We start from the raw sequence: 17515 nt of genomic DNA, 5'->3' as shown, positions 1-17515 counted from the left end.
TGGGGTTTAGCTTCATGATAATCAGGATCAACTTGTCCATGACAGTAGTAACTCCTTTCTTGGCCTCCAGGACTGGCATGAAGATCCCCAAATTATGAGGTAGTATATATTATCTTGGGTTTGGTAAAAACCTATTTCCCTCGTAGAAGCAGCATCCTCCCTTTTCCCCCTCAAAGGGAAACAGAATCCCTAGTCCAGCAGAACCTATAGTTATAAGAACAGGAAGCACAAAAGTGGGTTACTGAAAGTGGTGGTTGATGGGGTGATAGTCCTACTTCCATCCCTTGCTACCCAGGTCCATGTATTTTATGTAACAGGGACACAACACTATCTCAAAGAATAGCTTTTCAGCCCCTCAGGGTGCTGTCCCTAAGCTGGTGCTTTAGCTGGGCCCTTAAGTGGTCATTCCAAAGTTCTATCAGGCTAGTGGTTCATGGCTAATGCTGTATGATGAAGCTATATGCTATATGACATGACTACTGTCACACGCCCTTGATATAAAGTGGGTCTGTTGATGCAAGGGATGTGAAATCCTTTGATGATCAGAATGATCAATGAGACACTCTGAGCCATCAGTTCATGCAACTATGTGTGGCACTTTGGAGGAGACCACAGATTCACACCCAGAATATGTATTAAGAAGAAAAAAAATTCCTAATACCTCCAGGTTGGAAGTGGTCCAATGTAATCAACTTGCCAACTAGTGTGTGGCTGGTTCCTTTGAAGGATGATTCCACATCGAAGGCTCAGTGTTGTATTTACTGCTGACAGGGTGGACATTTGGTAGTGAGACAGCCAGGTGGGAGGGGGTCCCTAGAGAAATTCCAAGCAGCCTGTGCACTGGGGTGGAGCCGCAGAAGTTGGCATCCTTTGCAGTGGGGAGGAGCCAGGCTCCTCCTCTTCCTGTGTGGAACCTGGGATTCGAACTGCGGGGTGGGAAGTGCTCTAGCAGGGACTCTGGCCTTGTAAGAGTCCCTGTTTCCCCCTTTTCTTCCTCTTCACCCAATAAAACCGTGTCTTACTCACCATTCAAATTGTTTGCGAGCCTGAATTTTCGTGCCCATGGGAAAAGAACCCTGTCTTTGAACTAAGGAAAAGTCCTGTGACAGCAGCAGAAGTAGCTGAATCTGTCTTGGTGGGAGAAAACCCATGCTTCTGGGCTTATAAAGAAACTCAATCTGTCACCTCAGCTAATCTATTCATGGGTCTATTGTTCAAGAAATTGACAAGCACAGACATTCTCTGGCTGGCTGACATGCTTTGGACCGACCGTCTTGTCCACATGGTTGTTGAATGCTTCCTCTGTAATGGGCGTTTTCTTGTGAGTATTGATATAAGACACAATGATCAAAACAGTTTTTGCCAAAATTCACTGTTCCTTCAGTTCAGAGTCATTGCTAAATGTGACTCACCCTCCTCCCACCCTACCTGCTCAGAGCTCTGACCCTAGAAAAGAGCAGGATGCTGGACTCACTGTTTATGACCTCTCCTCACATCATTGACTTCCTTTCTAGCTAGCTGGTTGGCATTTTATCCCTTTTAAGGAGAAGACAGCTTTTCTACCATGTTGTGTTCTCTTTTCCTTTAAATGCTTTGTACAATTTTCCCTCAGATTTTGGTACTTGATCTTCTAAGCCAATCTTTTTGGCATGTCAAAATATTTTTCCTTTCACTACTGAATTTGATGGTCATGGCTTTCAAGATTTTGTATTTTCTATATCTTTGTAAAAGTCTACAAAGAAGCTCAAAGACAAGAATTTTACCCTGTTCTTTCTTTGTTCTTTAGTGCTCTCTCCTTTTTGATATTTAGCCTCTAGTTTTTGGGCTAGTTTTCACAAAGGAAGGGCCTCACACTGAGAAACAAAGTACTTTAGATGGTATTTGAAAACACTATCCTTCCTCACATGGTCTTCAAATGAAATGTTTGATATTATGTTATAAAACAGTCCCTCATATTTCCCTTTGTATGCAGCAGAGTTATAGTCAGTGCCCCAGGGCCCTTATAAAAGGAGGTGTGCCCAGGCCCCTCAGCAAGCTTTAGGTACCGGGTGCAGGTGACTGTGGGCACTGTGTGCTTGCTGCGCAGAAGAATGTGGTTGAGTCATGGAGCTGGGAATCCTGTATGTGCAGGGAAATGTGCTGGTCTCCTTTTTTAAGCCTGGCTGTGAATCTTCCACTGATCTTCTCTCTCACAGTTGATAGCATTTGTATCAGGGAAATGAGGCCTTCCTCAGGATCCTGCCTGAACCACTGAAGAAATCTGAAGGGCTGTCTCTGTAACTGCAGTTCAGTGTGACGCTGTCACCTTCCTTGACTTTCAGGGAAGGAGCATTCTGTTCCACTGGCAGTTGTCCATTTGACCCTGCTTAGGAGGAATGAAACATTTTCATATATATAGTGTGTTTGTTCATCAGTTTCATTATTTGTTTTACATTCCTGAGACTAGACCCAAGATTGTCCCCGGGATCTTTCTAAATTTCAATGCCCTGGCCGCCCCTACTTGATTCCTCCCCTCCTCATGACTCGCCTGACTCACAGGTCAGCTGCACACAGAGGAGCAGCAGCAGAGTGCTCAGTGGAGTTTCCATTCTTTCCTTTTCCTGGAGCCTCTGTGGATTCAGTTTGGAGACCTAGATTTGGCCGTGTTCACTGGGCCTAGTTCACTGTTCTAGAGTCTTCTGGTTCTGTTGGTTGGGTAGCCTTTGGGGAATCTTCATTGTTTTTACGGATAATCAAAACCTCACTGTTACATCACACACATCATTGAATGCCCTCCTCCTGCTGTTCCCTTCCCCTTGTTCTAGTTTCTGGCAGTGCCTCTGTCAAAGGAAGCACTGCCCCCAGGTGGTCTGAACTCAAAAAAATTGTTTTTTCATTTCCCCCTTAATATAAAGTAACTCGTTATGTTGAAATGAAAGGTAGACGGAACATACAGAGAGGTGAGGAGCAAACAAAAAAGAAAGAAAGCAAACAGTGTTAAAAGGAAAGTTTCTCCAGTTATGACTGTCTGAAAATCCTTTACACCTGAAACTCCCTCACTCCCCTCACCTTTAAAGAATTATGCAGGCTTTTTGCCTCTATGGCACTGTAGTACATTCTGAGGGGGGTAGGAATAGGTTGAGAGAAGATCTGATTATTTCCCTTAATTGATTATTTTTCTACCAGAGCTGTATTATATGTCTCAATCTCAGCAGCTTTAAATAAGTTAAAAGAGTTAGACCTTTTCCAAATTCTCGTTAAAAAGACAAAGGAGGAAAATGTAGTATCCTTTCTTTTAGGATGTTTTCAGGTGTGAGAAAGCAGTCTAGTAACTGGCTAACTCTGAGCATGCTAGTGCTTTTGCAAATATCCAAGTGCTTTATATTTAGCTCTGGGCACCTGTGCACACTGGTAATTTCTCATGTTTTACATATTAGTTTTCTGAAACTCTGTTTTATGGTTTCCTGTACTTGCAGCAATGACTAGGGACTCAAGATGAGGAGAGGATAGGGAAGAAAGCTCTCATCTGTTCTTTGCATCCAGGTCTCATCCTGTGGAGCATAGGTGCCTACCTATTACCCTCCCACATTTTCTCAGCTATATTTCTTGGGTAAAGCCCTGGCCCTAGCAAATCTATCCTCATTCTTTTCTTCCTTCATTTCTTTCTGTGGTCATGACATAAGTGTCTGAGCCTCTACACTGAGTCTATGAAGAATAAGAGGATCTTTGATGTTAATTGTGGATATTACTCTTCCATTCTTTTTTGTGTATGAAATTATGTAAAACAAGGAGAATTTTTTTTTTTTTCGTTTTTTGTAGCTTAGACTAGAGTTAGCTTTCTCCTGGACATGCAGGGTTTGGGTAAGACTGGACTCTACCTTCTCCTGTTTTCACATTTCTGCTTGAGAAAAAAACAATAGACACATGAGGTGGTCACTGGAGAATCTGGCTATTTGTAAACTGGTACACTTCCCTAGAAACCTTATGATCTTTCTTTTTCCCAATCAGAGCATCCCCACATCACATTAAGTCTGAAACCACAGAAATGCTAGCAAAACTTTAGTTCTCTTTGTAAAATTTTTTTTCTATTTATGAGGATACTTACCAGGAATGTCCTCAAAGAAGGGATTTTTTTTCCTAGAAAGAATAGAGGAGCTGTTTTAGATGCTTGGAGGAAGTAGCATTTACATGAGAGTTCTCCTTGGAATTTTTCTTCTCTCTTATCTCAGGTATGTGATTTCAACATTCTAGGTAGGTACTAGCAGGTATATGTCTAGCTATAGATGATTAACGATTTTACTGAGCAATGATGGACAGGGGTTGTGGCAGGTAAACAATAAATGTTGAGTGTCACTACCTCAACAAATTCACTTAACCCTGTGGAGACATTTAATAAAATGTACAAAATAGAATATGCTAATTATCCAGTTGGAGAGAGAAGAAAAACACACCTAAAAAGTCAACTAGCTCTAGGGGCCAGTGTATGATTGACATCAGCAGTTACTACTCTAGAAGCGAGGTATAGGAGCTAAGCAATTGTAGGTAAGAGTTAGTAGCTTAATAACTGATACAAGAGCCAAGAAAAAAAATCATATGATTATCTTTATTGATGGAGAAAAGGAATTTGACAAAATACAACACAGATTCATGTTAAAACATTGAAAAATAAAAACTAATAACTAATTCTTTAACATATCACATAAAACTTGCATACACCGTAATCCCAAACCAGCACCAACTTATGGGAAAGTGCTAGAGGCTTTCCTATTAAAGTAGGTGAAGGAAAAAGATGTTCATTACCACTACTGCTATCTAAGATTGTGTTGAAGCTACTTGCTAATGCAGTCAGCCCAGAGAAACAATAAGAAGCATAAGAATTGGAAAGGAAGAGATAAAACATCATCTGCATGTAAGTAGATAAAATGACTGTACATCAGAAAACCTAAAAGAGGACAAAGACCACTAGCAAAGGATTGGCTACAATTAAACATTTAAAAAATTCCTGTCATTCTTATGCCAAAACAAAAAAAAACAGAAGAAAATGTAGAAGAAAAGAGTATATTTTCTATTGCACAGAAGTGAAAAGAAAGAGAAAGAAAATTCTTAAGTGAAAATTAAGGGTAGGCAGACAGGTTAGTTAAATGGAATAGCAAATCTGTAATATGGCCTAATTGTATATGGAAATTCATGTACGATAATAACAGCGACTCAAATCAGTGGTGGGAAATGACTTTCCAGTAAGTCACTGTTCTAACAGGAATAACTTGTATGCCTCCTAGATATGAGTCTGCTGGTGACAAATGTGATTGTGATCCTGTCCCATTTAGGCCTATAGTCATTAAACTGGGGTCACGTACCTTGAGGCAAATGAGGACTTTCTTAAAACCAGCCTGCTCTAGAACATGCTTCAGGGTCCAAATGTTAAGCTGCTGCTTCTTTCCCATTTCTCTTTCCAACATCACCCTTACCTCCTACCCCTTAAAGAAAAAGTATATATCTCAACCATCCGGAATGGTGCATTGGTCCAGGGTGCTAAAAAAAAAATTCCCAAGCTGCCAAATAAAGAGACAATTTATTAGCTTCTGGAATCTGCGGGAGAGCCCTTAAAAGCTAAGCAAGAAATATTGCAAAACAGGAATATATTTCAACTGGCGACAGCCTCAATGCAAGGTTCCTTACCATATTCATCTACCTACTTTAGAATTAGAATTATGAAATGACTGGGTTGTCATTGGAACCCATCATGTAACATTCTTATTTGAATTAAAAAATGAAGTCAGGCTTTTTTTTCTGACAGAAAACACATCTTATGTGGCCAGTTTGTTGACAATGTGGGGTATGGGGGAAAGAGAAGAATTAAAGAAGATTCCAGTATTTTTGGCTATAGCGAGTGGGTGAATTATATCACTGTTTTCTTGAGATGGGGAAGAGTGAGGGATGAGCGTAAGGGAGGGAATAAGGTATGTTGTGGATATCTTAGATTTTAGATGCCAGACAGACATCTGGCAAAGATGTTATATAGATTATAGTATATATGAGCCTGGCTTTCAACAGAGAGGGGTTGGATGGAGGTATAAACCTGGGAGTCATCAATGTATGGATGGTAATTAAAGCCATATTCCTGGATGAAATCACTTAGAGAGTGCATGTAGACGGCATATATGTTTGAGGACTGAGTCCTGAGACAACACAGTATCTAGAGGTCAGCAAGAGGAAGGTGAGCTAGAAAAGGAGTGGCTTGTGAGGTTGAAAGCAAACCAGGAAAGTGTGGAATCCCCAAACTCAAGCAAAGATAATGTTTCAAGGAGAGAATAACCAAATTGTCAAATTATTCTGAGAAATTCAGTAAGATAAAACATGGTAATGGATCATTGGATTTGAGGCTATGAAACCCATTGTGACCTTAACAAAGTGATTCTGATACAAGGATAGGGATAAAAATCTGCCTGGACTGGGTTTTGAGTAAGAAAGGGGTTAGGGAGTAGAGATAAGGAATTTAGAAAGCTTTTAAAAGGTGTTATGCTATTAAGACAGACAAGGAACCAACAGGCTATAAAGCTGTTTTGCCCATTGAACCACTAATTCCAGTTCGAGGATGCTGTCTTAATGAAACGATAAAAAGTTAAATTAAAATGTATATTTAGGGGTGGATCCAAGATGGCCAAATAGGAACAGCTCCAGTCTACAGATCCCAGCATGAGCGACGCGGAAGATGGGTGATTTCTGCATTTCCAGCTGAGGTACTGGGTTCATCTCACTGGGGCTTGTTGGACAGTGGGTGCAGGACAGTAGGTGCAGCGCACTGAGCATGAGGTGAAGCAGGGCGAGGCATCGCCTCATCCGGGAAGTGCAAGAGGTCAGCAAATTCCCTTTCCTAGCCAAGCAAAGCTGTGTCAGATGGCACCTGGAAAATCGGGACACTTCCACCCTAATACTGCACTTTTCCAATGGTCTTAGCAAAGGGCATACCAGGAGGTTATATCCTGTGCCTGGCTTGGAGGGACCCACACCCACGGAGCCTCGCTCATTGCCAGCACAGCAGTCTGAGATGGAACTGCAAGGCGGCAGCGAGGCTGGGGGAAGGGCACCCACCATTGCTGAGGCTTGAGTAGGTAAACAAAGTAGCCGGGAAGCTCGAACTGGGTGGAGCCCACCGAAGGTCAAGGAGGCCTGCCTGCCTCTGTAGACTCCACCTTGGGAGGCAGGGCCTAGCTGAACAAAAGGCAGCAGAAACCTCTGCAGACTTAAATGTCCCTGTCTGACAGCTTTGAAGAGAATAGTGGTTCTCCCAGCACAGAGTTTGAGATCTGAGAATGGACAGACTGCCTCCTCAAGTGGGTCCCTGACCCCAAGTAGCCTAACTGGGAGGCAAACCCCAGTAGGGGCAGACTGACACCTCACACGGCCAGGTATCCCTCTGAGATGAAACTTCCAGAGGAATGATCAGGCAGCAACATTTGCTGTTCAGCAATATTCACTGTTCTGCAGCCTCTGCTGCTGATACCCAGGCAAACAGGGTCTGGAGTGGACAAGACACATAACTGTCAGATTCACCAAAGTTGAAATGAAGGAAAAAATGTTAAGGGCAGCCAGAGAAAAAGGTCGGGTTACCCACAGAGGGAAGCCCATCAGACTAACAGTGGATCTCTCGGCAGAAACTCTACAAGCCAGAAGAGAGTGGGGGCCAATATTCAACATTCTTAAAGAAAAGAATTTTCAACCCAGAATTTCATATTCAGCCAAACTAAGCTTCATAAGTGAAGGAGAAATAAAATCCTTTACAGACAAGCAAATGCTGAAAGATTTTGTCACCACCAGGCCTGCCCTAAAAGAGCTCCTGAAGGAAGCACTAAACAGGGAAAGGAACAACCAGCACCAGCCGTGGCAAAAACATGCCAAATTGTAAAGACCATTGATGCTAGGAAGAAACTGCATCAACTAACGAGCAAAATAACCAGCTAACATCATAATGACAGGATCAAATTCACACATAACAATATTAACCTTAAATGTAAATGGGCTAAATGCTCCAATTAAAAGACATAGACTGCCAAATTGGACAAAGAGACAAGACCCATCAGTATGCTGTATTCAGGAAACCCATGTCACGTGCAGAGACACACATAGGCTCAAAATAAAGGGATGGAGGAAGATCTACCAAGTAAATGGAAAACAAAAAAAGGCAGGGGTTGCAATCCTAGTCTCCGATAAAACAGACTTTAAACCAACAAAGATCAAAAGAGACAAAGATGGCCATTACATAATGGTAAAGGGATCAATTCTCCTATCCTAAATATATATGCACCCAATACAGGAGCACCCAGATTCATAAAGCAAGTCCTTAGAGACCTACAAAGAGACTTAGACTCCCACACAATAATAATGGGAGACTTTAACACCCCACTGTCAACAATAGACAGATCAATGAGACAGAAAGTTAACAATGATATCCAGGAACTGAATTCAGCTCTGCACCAAGCAGACCTAATTGATATCTACAGAACTCTCCACCCCAAATCAACAGAATATACATTCTTCTCAGCAACACATTGCACTTATTCCAAAATTGACCACATAGTTGGAAGTAAAGCACTCCTCAGCAAATGTAAAAGAACAGAAATTATAACAAACTTTCTCTTAGGCCACAGAGCAATCAAACTAGAACTCAGGATTAAGAAACTCATTCCAAACTGCTCAGCTACATGGAAACTGAACAACCTGCTCCTGAATGACTACTGGGTACATAATGAAATGAAGGCAGAAATAAAGATGTTCTTTGAAACCAACGAGAACAAAGACACAACATACCAGAATCTCTGGGACACATTTAAAGCAGTGTGTAGAGGGAAATTTATAGCACTAAATGCCCACAAGAGAAAGCAGGAAAGATTTAAAATTGACACCCTGACATCACAATTAAAAGAACTAGAGAAGCAAGGGAAAACACATTCAAAAGCTAGCAGAAGGCAAGAAGTAACTAAGATCAGAGCAGAACTGAAGGAGATAGAGACACAAAAAACCCTTCAAAAAATGAACGAATCCAGGAGCTGGTTTTTTGAAAAGATCAACAAAATGGATAGACCACTAGCAAGACTAATAAAGAAGAAAAGAGAGAAGAATCAAATAGACGCAATAAAAAATGATAAAGGGGATCTCACCACCGATCCCACAGAAATACAAACTACCATCAGAGAATATTATAAACACCTCTACGCAAATAAACTAGAAAATCTAGAAGAAATGGTTAAATTCCTCGACACATACACCCTCCCAAGACTAAACCAGGAAGAAGTTGAATCCCTGAATAGACCAATAACAGGCTCCGAAATTGAGGCAATAATTAATAGCTTACCAACCGAAAAAAGTCCAGGACGAGATGATTCACAGCCGAATTCTACCAGAGGTACAAGGAGGAACTTGTACCATTCCTTCTGAAGCTATTCCAATAAATAGAAAAAGAGGGAATCCTCACTAACTCATTTTATGAGGCCAGCATCATCCTGATACCAAAGCCTGGCAGAGACACAACAAAAAAAAGAGAATCTTAGTCCAATATCCCTGATGAACATCAATGCAAAAATCCTCAATAAAATACTGGCAAACCGAATCCAGCAGCACATCCGAAAGCTTATGCACCATGATCAAGTGGGCTTCATCCCTGGGATGCAAGGCTGGTTCAATATACGCAAATCATTAAACATAATCCAACATATAAACAGAACCAAAGACAAAAACCAATGACTACCTCAATAGATGCCGAAAAGGCCTTTGACAAAATTCAACAACCCTTCATGCTAAAAACTCTCAATAAATTAGGTATCAATGGGACATATCTCAAAATAATAAGAGCTATCTATGACAAACCCACAGCCAATATCATACTGAATGGGCAAAAACTGGAAGCATTCCCTTTGAAAACTGGCACAAGACAGGGATGCCCTCTCTCACCATTCCTATTCAACATAGTGTTGGAAGTTCTGGCCAGGACAATCAGGCAGGAGAAAGAAATAAAGGGTATTCAATTAGGAAAAGGGAAAGTCAAATTGTCCCTGTTTGCAGATGACATGATTGTATATCTAGAAAACCCCATTGTCTCAGCCCAAAATCTCCTTAAGCTCATAAGCAACTTCAGCAAAGTCTCAGGATACAAAATCAATGTGCAAAAATCACAAGCATTCCTATACACCAATAACAGACAAACAGAGAACCAAATCATGAGTGAACTCCCATTCACAATTGCTTCAAAGAGAATAAAATACCTAGGAATCCAACTTATAAGGGATGTGAAGGACCTCTGCAAGGAGAACTACAAACCACTGCTCAAGGAAATAAAAGAGGATACAAACAAATGGAAGAACATTCCATGCTCATGGATAGGAATAATCAATATCATGAAAATGGCCATACTGCCCAAGGTAATTTATAGATTTAATGCCATCTCCATCAAGCTACCAATGACTTTCTTCACAGAATTGGAAAACTCTACTTTAAAGTTCATATGGAACCAAAAAAGAGCCCACATTGCCAAGTCAATCCTAAACCAAAAGAACAAAGCTGGAGGCATCATTCTACCTGTATTCAAACTATACTACAAGGCTACAGTAACCAAAACAGCATGGTACTGGTACCAAAACAGAGATATAGACCAATTGAACAGAACAGAGCCCTCAGAAATAATACCACACATCTACAACCATCTGATCTTTGACAAACCTGACAAAAACAAGCAATGGGGAAATGATTCCCTATTTAATAAATGGTGCTGGGAAAACTGGCTAGCCATATGTAGAAAGCTGAAACTGGATCCCTTCCTTACACCTTATACAAAAATTAATTCAAGATGGATTAAAGACTTAAATGTTAGACCTAAAATCATAAAAACCCTAGAAGAAAACCTAGGCAATACTATTCAGGACATAGGCATGAGCAAGGACTTCATGTCTAAAACACCAAAAGCAATGACAACAAAAGCCAAAATTGACAAATGGGATCTAATTAAACTCAAGAGCTTCTGCACAGCAAAAGAAACTACCATCAGAGTGAACAGGCAACCTACAGAATTGGAGAAAATTTTTGCAATCTACTCATCTGACAAAGGGCTAATATCCAGAATCTACAAAGAACTCAAACAAATTTACAAGAAAAAAACAAAGAACCCCATCAAAAAGTGGGCGAAGGATATGAACAGACACTTCTCAAAAGAAGACATTCATGCAGCCAACAGACACATGAAAATTAAATGCTAATCATCACTGGCCATCAGAGAAATGCAAATGAAAACCACAATGAGATGCCATCTCACACCAGTTAGAATGGCGATCATTAAAAAGTCAGGAAACAATAGATGCTGGAGAGGATGTGGAGAAATAGGAACACTTTTACACTGTTGGTGGGACTGTAAACTAGTTCAACCATTGTGGAAGACAGTGTGGCAACTCCTCAGGGATCTAGAACTAGCAACACCATTTGACCCAGCCATCCTATTACTGGGTAGGTACCCAAAGGATTATAAATCATGCTGCTATAAAGACACATGCACACGTATGTTTATTGTGGCACTATTCACAATAGCAAAGACTTGGAACCAACCCAAATGTCCGTCAATGATAGACTGGATTAAGAAAATGTGGCACATATACACCATGGAATACTATGCAGCCATAAAAAATGATGAGTTCATGTCCTTTGTAGCATGGATGAAGCTGGAAACCATCATTCTCAGCAAACTATCACAAGGACAAAAAACCCAAAGACCGCATGTTCTCACTCATAGGTGGGAATTGAACAATGAGAACACTTGGACACAGGAAGGGGAAGTTCACACACCACGGCCTGTTGTGGGGTGGGGGGAGGGGGGAGGGATAGCATTAGGAGATATACCTAATGTAAATGATGAGTTAATGGGTGCATCACAACAACATGGCACATGTACACATATGTAACAAACCTGCACGTGTGCACATGTACCCTAGAACTTAAAGTATAATAAAAATATATATATAAATAAAATAAAATGTATATTTAAAGATGTTTACCACAATGCTATTTAAAATAATAAAAATTGGAAATAAATAATAAAAATATCCCCAATCAGGAAAATTATAAAGTATTGTATATCTACGGTGTGAAATAGTAGCCAATTCAAACTATAAATCCAAGGCATTTTTAATTCTAAAAATGAGAATAAAATTTCATAAAATTATTCTTACAATATGATTTCCTCATGTGCAAAAATGTAAACAAGGAAAATAAGTAAAAATAGTAACAAAAGTGGAAATTAAAAAGTAAAAATAGAAAAAGTAAGAGTTCTTATGTTTATAATGTAGAGTTATGAATTTTTAGTAGTTTTCAAAATTTTTCCCATTTGAAATTCATAAAACACACATAGGGTTATTATGGCTCTTATTTCCCATAATGAGAGTAGACCAATGATTATTTGTCTTTACATAACTCTAGTTATTTTGAGTAGAAAATGCTTCTGTGGACCATAAATTCAGCTCATAAAATAACAGAGAACCAAAAGTATCCCTCTCCCTTTTGGCTATGAGAATTATGAATCCATTGGCTGTAAATGACAGAATCTCAATTCATGCTGGCTTGATCCCCAAAAAGAATATTTTGACTTTTGCAGCTCCAGGCAGAGCTGAATTTGTAGGCTCTGATGATGCTCTCGGAAATCTGCTTTTCTTTATCTCAGCATTGTCTTTCTCCATGTCTTACTAAGATGTGAATGATGCCCTGTAAAGTTGTGCATTGAATAATATGTGGCAGCTGCACTGGGCAGAAAAAAAAAAAAAAAGAAGAAAAATGGCACATGTCCACTGACATGAAACTGTCTGCAAAGCAGTTATACTCATTTAGTGCTTACATCTTTGTGCTTAGCCTCTTTTCCACAATGGTTTTTAGTTTTGAGAAGCTGTGAACCTGTGCTAATAACTGTTTCAAATTTCCATTATATGACAGATTAAAGCAAATCTTGGATGTACCCTTGAGGACAAATCTTTTCTGTCCATGGATCCATTCCTTCTTCTCCTTTCTTTCTCGTAAATTGTTCTTTGTCTCTTTCACCCATTCAAGACCCCAAATAAATACCCAACATTCTGCGCCAAGAAAATCCTTCCTTGGCAGAAACCATGGTGAGCGAGATTATTCCAAGTCCACTGGCTGCTTTTCTAGGATGATTCATCTTGGATAGATATTCAATGCAAATAAAAGCTGCAAACTTTGACTAGAAGTTTCCACGTCTGTCACTTCATCTTTCACTGAATAATATTACCAAAAGCTGTTTTTCAACAAAATAGATTTCTCTTCCTTGTTGTTCTCCATTTCTAATTTTAAAGAGTACTTTTCTCTTTCTGAATAATGTGGAAACAACAACAAAAGACAGAATAACTGTTTTAATTTTACTATAGTGTTGATGTCTATTTTTAATGTGCTTGTTGATTCTCAAAACCTGCATCAATTAATAGAAAAATAGAGCTACAAGATCTCTAAAACTGTAGCATATTGCTGCCTGAGGAACCATTCTGTTTTATGTACTCCAAACCATCCTTTCCTAAGAGTAAACCAAATTAGACACCAAACATGTTTGTGATGATAAAAGAAAGACACAGGGGGGTAAATTAGAAATTAGCCCTAATGTCTAAGAACTGTCTGCCTGGTTTATCCTTATGGTAACTCAGTACCCGGAAGAGCAGGGAAGACTATGGGAACATATCTAAACCAGGCCTGGGTAGGTCCCAGGGTAAGTAAAATCTCGCATCAATTCAGGAGTTATTTTCAATGAAAATCATGCAAAGGTTTTTGCAGACAGACAAGGAAGAGAACGAAGTGTAAAGCAAAGCAAGATGTAGCTCTGTTTTATTTATTTGGTCTGTATTATTTGATTTGAAAGTTTGTCCTTTATGAGGTTCCTGAGTGCAGAGAAACTATTAGTGTTCCCATCCTCACCCCTAAGAAAATTCACGCTGGAAAGTGATCGGGGAATCGCGACACTTTCGGAAAAGTGTTTAGATTTTTCGTTTCCTGCAATAAGGGCTATTAGTTGATGATAGAACTACTCAGGGAAAAGGAAATTTATCTGTCCATTGAATCAATTATTATGGAAATATAGTTTTTCAGTACATTTAGAAATGTGCTTGTAAAGTAAATCTTTGATGTTATTTAACAGTTTAAATTTAGGTTAATATTAGCTCTTTCTGAAAAACAATTTCAAGATATTCCTTAATGTTGTTTATGGTAAGGATGGATAATCTCATACCATTTTCTCTTTGTCTGGAAAGAAACCCAGTTCTGGGCTGTGTGCAGTCCTCTTACACTAACAATTGTCTCAAGCCAAGATTCCCTCTTATCTCACAGCATTTTCCAATAAAAATTGGTTCTTTCAGTCATATTTGGAAACTTCTAATTTCCTAAACCTTTCTCTCTGTTATTTCTTGATCATTGCCCTTGATAAGATTATCCTGCCTGGCATGTATTCTCTTACCATCTCTCTCATTTTAAATCCTACACATGCTTCAAATACAAATCCAAAATCCAATTTCCATTAAGCTGGAAGTAGCTTTTTTTATTCACGATGCATTTTACAAGCTGTTTGGTTGTTCTGTTCTTCGATGCTATTTTCCCCCATACAAAACTTACATGTTTTAGTTTTGCACAAAATCATATCATTTTGTAATTCTGCAACATCACTGGAAATGGGCATTCTACTTTTCTTTGAATATTTCCTGTAGAAAGGAATATTTTATGCCTTAAAGCTGTCTGTTTCTTTTTGGGAAAACTCTGATTGCTAGTTCTTTTTTATAGCGAGCTGAAATTTGTTTTCAGTAAATTTTAACCATTGGCCATAAATTTGCCTTTACACATCGGTATACATATAACCTGCCATTTATTTATTTGATCATTGTTTGGTTAGTGGTTATTGGATAAAAAAATTGGTATCTCTATAAAGCTTACATCTAGTGACAGATATTATCATGTGTATTAGATAATAAGCTCTTTGTGTACAGCATAATGCCTAATACATATGTGTATATATATATATTTTTGAGACAGGGTCTCACTCTGTTGCCCAGGCTGAGTGCATTGGCATGATCATGACTCACTGCAGCCTCGACCTCCTGGGCTCAAGTGATCCTCCCACCTCAGCCTCCTAAAGTGATGGGATTGCAGGTGTGAGCCACCACGACCAGGCCCTAATATATTTTTATGTTGTCAAAGTAGATAGAGAGGAGGAAATAGAAAAGCCTCAGATAATAATTATGAAAAATATTATTTCATGCTGATTAGAAAAGGAAGCGAGTAAGTGGTTCCTCTTGTGGGGTTGTGTACAGACTGAAGTGGGGGCATCTCCATGGTTACAGGGCAGGAGTTGGTGGCTGAGTCTGTGATCTGCAGAGAGCTAAGCCGTGTTCTTAATGATTGGGGCTCTTACTCCTGCTTTCCATTTTACCTCTGAAATAATGAAAACTACAAGGACATGGTCTTTCACAGCACTGCGTCTGAAACATAAAAGCCAACAGTCTTGTGTAACTGCAGTTAAAAATAGAAGCCTCTCTTCCCTGGACACGTGTGGACTGGGACACTGCTCTACTTTCTGCTGCCTTTCTTCCCTGAGAGAAACAAGTACAGAGGGCCAGGCATCAGCTCTCCACTTTTTAAATGATTCATTTTCTTTTCCCAACTTTCCTGGAAACCCCAGAAGAATCAACTTGCACGTATTCTTTCTTCAGTCTTTCGGGAATGCCCATTGCATTTGGCTTTTCCCCTGTTCAGAAACATTTCTTTCTTTCTTTCTTTCTTTTTTTTTTTTTGAGACGGAGTCTCGCTCTGTCACCCAGGCTGGAGTGCAGTGGCACGATCTCGGCTCACTGCAACCTCCGCCTCTCCAGGTTTAAGCAATTCTCTGTCTCAGCCTCTGGAGTATCTGGGATTACAGGCACGTGCCACCTTGCCCGGCTAATTTTTTGTATTTTTAGTAGAGTTGGGGTTTCACCATCTTGGCCAGGCTGGTCTTGAACTCCTGACCTTGTGATCCACCTGCCTCGGCCTCCCAAAGTGCTGGGATTACAGGTGTAAGCCACTGCACCTGGCTAGAAACATTTCAATGTATGCCTTCAATGAAGCCACAGGACCACTAAGGAAGATCTTTGGCATTATTTATTATCGCTCCTATCCTGAGACATTTATATATTCACTAAAGGTGAAAAGCATAGAGTTATTTGCATTCAGAGCGACCAGCCAATCACAGCCACCTCTTATTCCTTTTTCTACTCCTTCCTTCCCTGCAACCCAAACAACATACAGACATACATTCAAATATACACACCTTTGCAGTCATACAGGGAAAAGCAAACTATCTGTAATCAACGCGGAGAAAGAAAAACACTAATTGCTGGTGGGATTACACATCAGAGTTGCTGAGAGGATGTCAAACACTTTTATTCTTAGTGAGTACTCTTGTGACAAGGGTCAGGGCCTTTGATCATGTCATCACCTGCGGAGCCCCTAACTCTGCACAACCAAGTCTTAACTGGATGAAGGGAAACAAAGTTGAGAAAGGTACAGCCACAGCATGTGTAACTTTAGGGATTATTTGACTGAGATGAAATTTGCCTGATTGCCTTCTTTCAAAATTTGTGGAAAATATTAAATTTGAATGACATTTAAATGGTATGGTAGAAAATAGTATTCGAAGCTGGGCATGGTGGCTCACACCTGAAATCCCAGCACTTTGGGAGGCCGAGGTGGGTGATCACTTGAGCACTTTGGGAGGCCGAGGTGGGTGATCACAGGAGTTCAAGACCAGCCTGGACAACAGGGTGAAACCCTGTCTCTACTAAAAATACAAAAATTAGCCAGGCCTGGTGGCAGATGCCTATAATCCCAGCTACTCAGGAGATTGAGGCAGGAGAATCGCTTGAACCCAAGAGGCAGAGGTTGCAGTGAGTCAAGATTGCATCACTGCAATCCAGCCTGGGCAACAGAGTGACTCTGCCTCAAAAAAAAGAAAATAGTATTTGAGAAAATATAAGTAAATGCAGTGTTTGATGAACTACTATTATTACTAATCTTTTATTTTTATTTGTATAAGTCACTATGAGTCTCAGAGGAAGAAGACCTTTTAAAGTTGCCTGGATGTTTGAATTGCTCAGAATCCAAATATTTGTCAGAGACTCAACAAACTTACCAGCACTGCCTTCTAGTTTGGTTTCACACATTATACTGACCTCATTAGTCCAAAAGCCAATTAAAAAACAAAAGTCAATAATATACTAAGTGCCATTTTTCAGAGGTCTCCTTTGCCAAAGCCTGAGGAAGGGGTGGGGAGAAAGCATATTCAGTCTGCAGAACAGCACAGACTCTGGGATAGAGGATTTGGAGACCCCACTTCCATCAGCAGCAACCTATCCAATAGGAATTAATTACAGAAGCTTCCCCATGGTGCTGTCATACAGAAACATGTGGTAAGTCATGAACGGACCTAAGGTGCCTGACACACAAGGATCATTCAGGAAATGTCAGCTACTATTGCCTG

At 40.0% G+C, this 17515-nt stretch overlaps 1 pseudogene and 1 further gene, besides 4 other annotated features; both read right to left on the bottom strand.

Annotated features, from left to right (window-relative positions):
- Positions 1-17515, bottom strand: part of TRA (T cell receptor alpha locus) — a 930229-nt gene that overhangs the window by 283796 nt on the left and 628918 nt on the right.
- Positions 1164-2588, bottom strand: TRAV37 (T cell receptor alpha variable 37 (pseudogene); annotated as a pseudogene). The gene is given in 2 exon segments: positions 1164-2362; positions 2537-2588. Coding segments are annotated over 2 exon segments (1251 nt in total).
- Positions 2035-2043: a recombination feature (nonamer).
- Positions 2044-2065: a recombination feature (spacer).
- Positions 2352-2362: a sequence feature (TRAV37 leader sequence).
- Positions 2537-2588: a sequence feature (TRAV37 leader sequence).

This window comes from Homo sapiens, chromosome 14, assembly GCF_000001405.40.
Source record: "Homo sapiens chromosome 14, GRCh38.p14 Primary Assembly".
NCBI lineage: Eukaryota > Metazoa > Chordata > Mammalia > Primates > Hominidae > Homo > Homo sapiens.
Note: the sequence above shows the minus strand (reverse complement) of the source record. Positions and strands in the feature narration are given on the sequence as shown.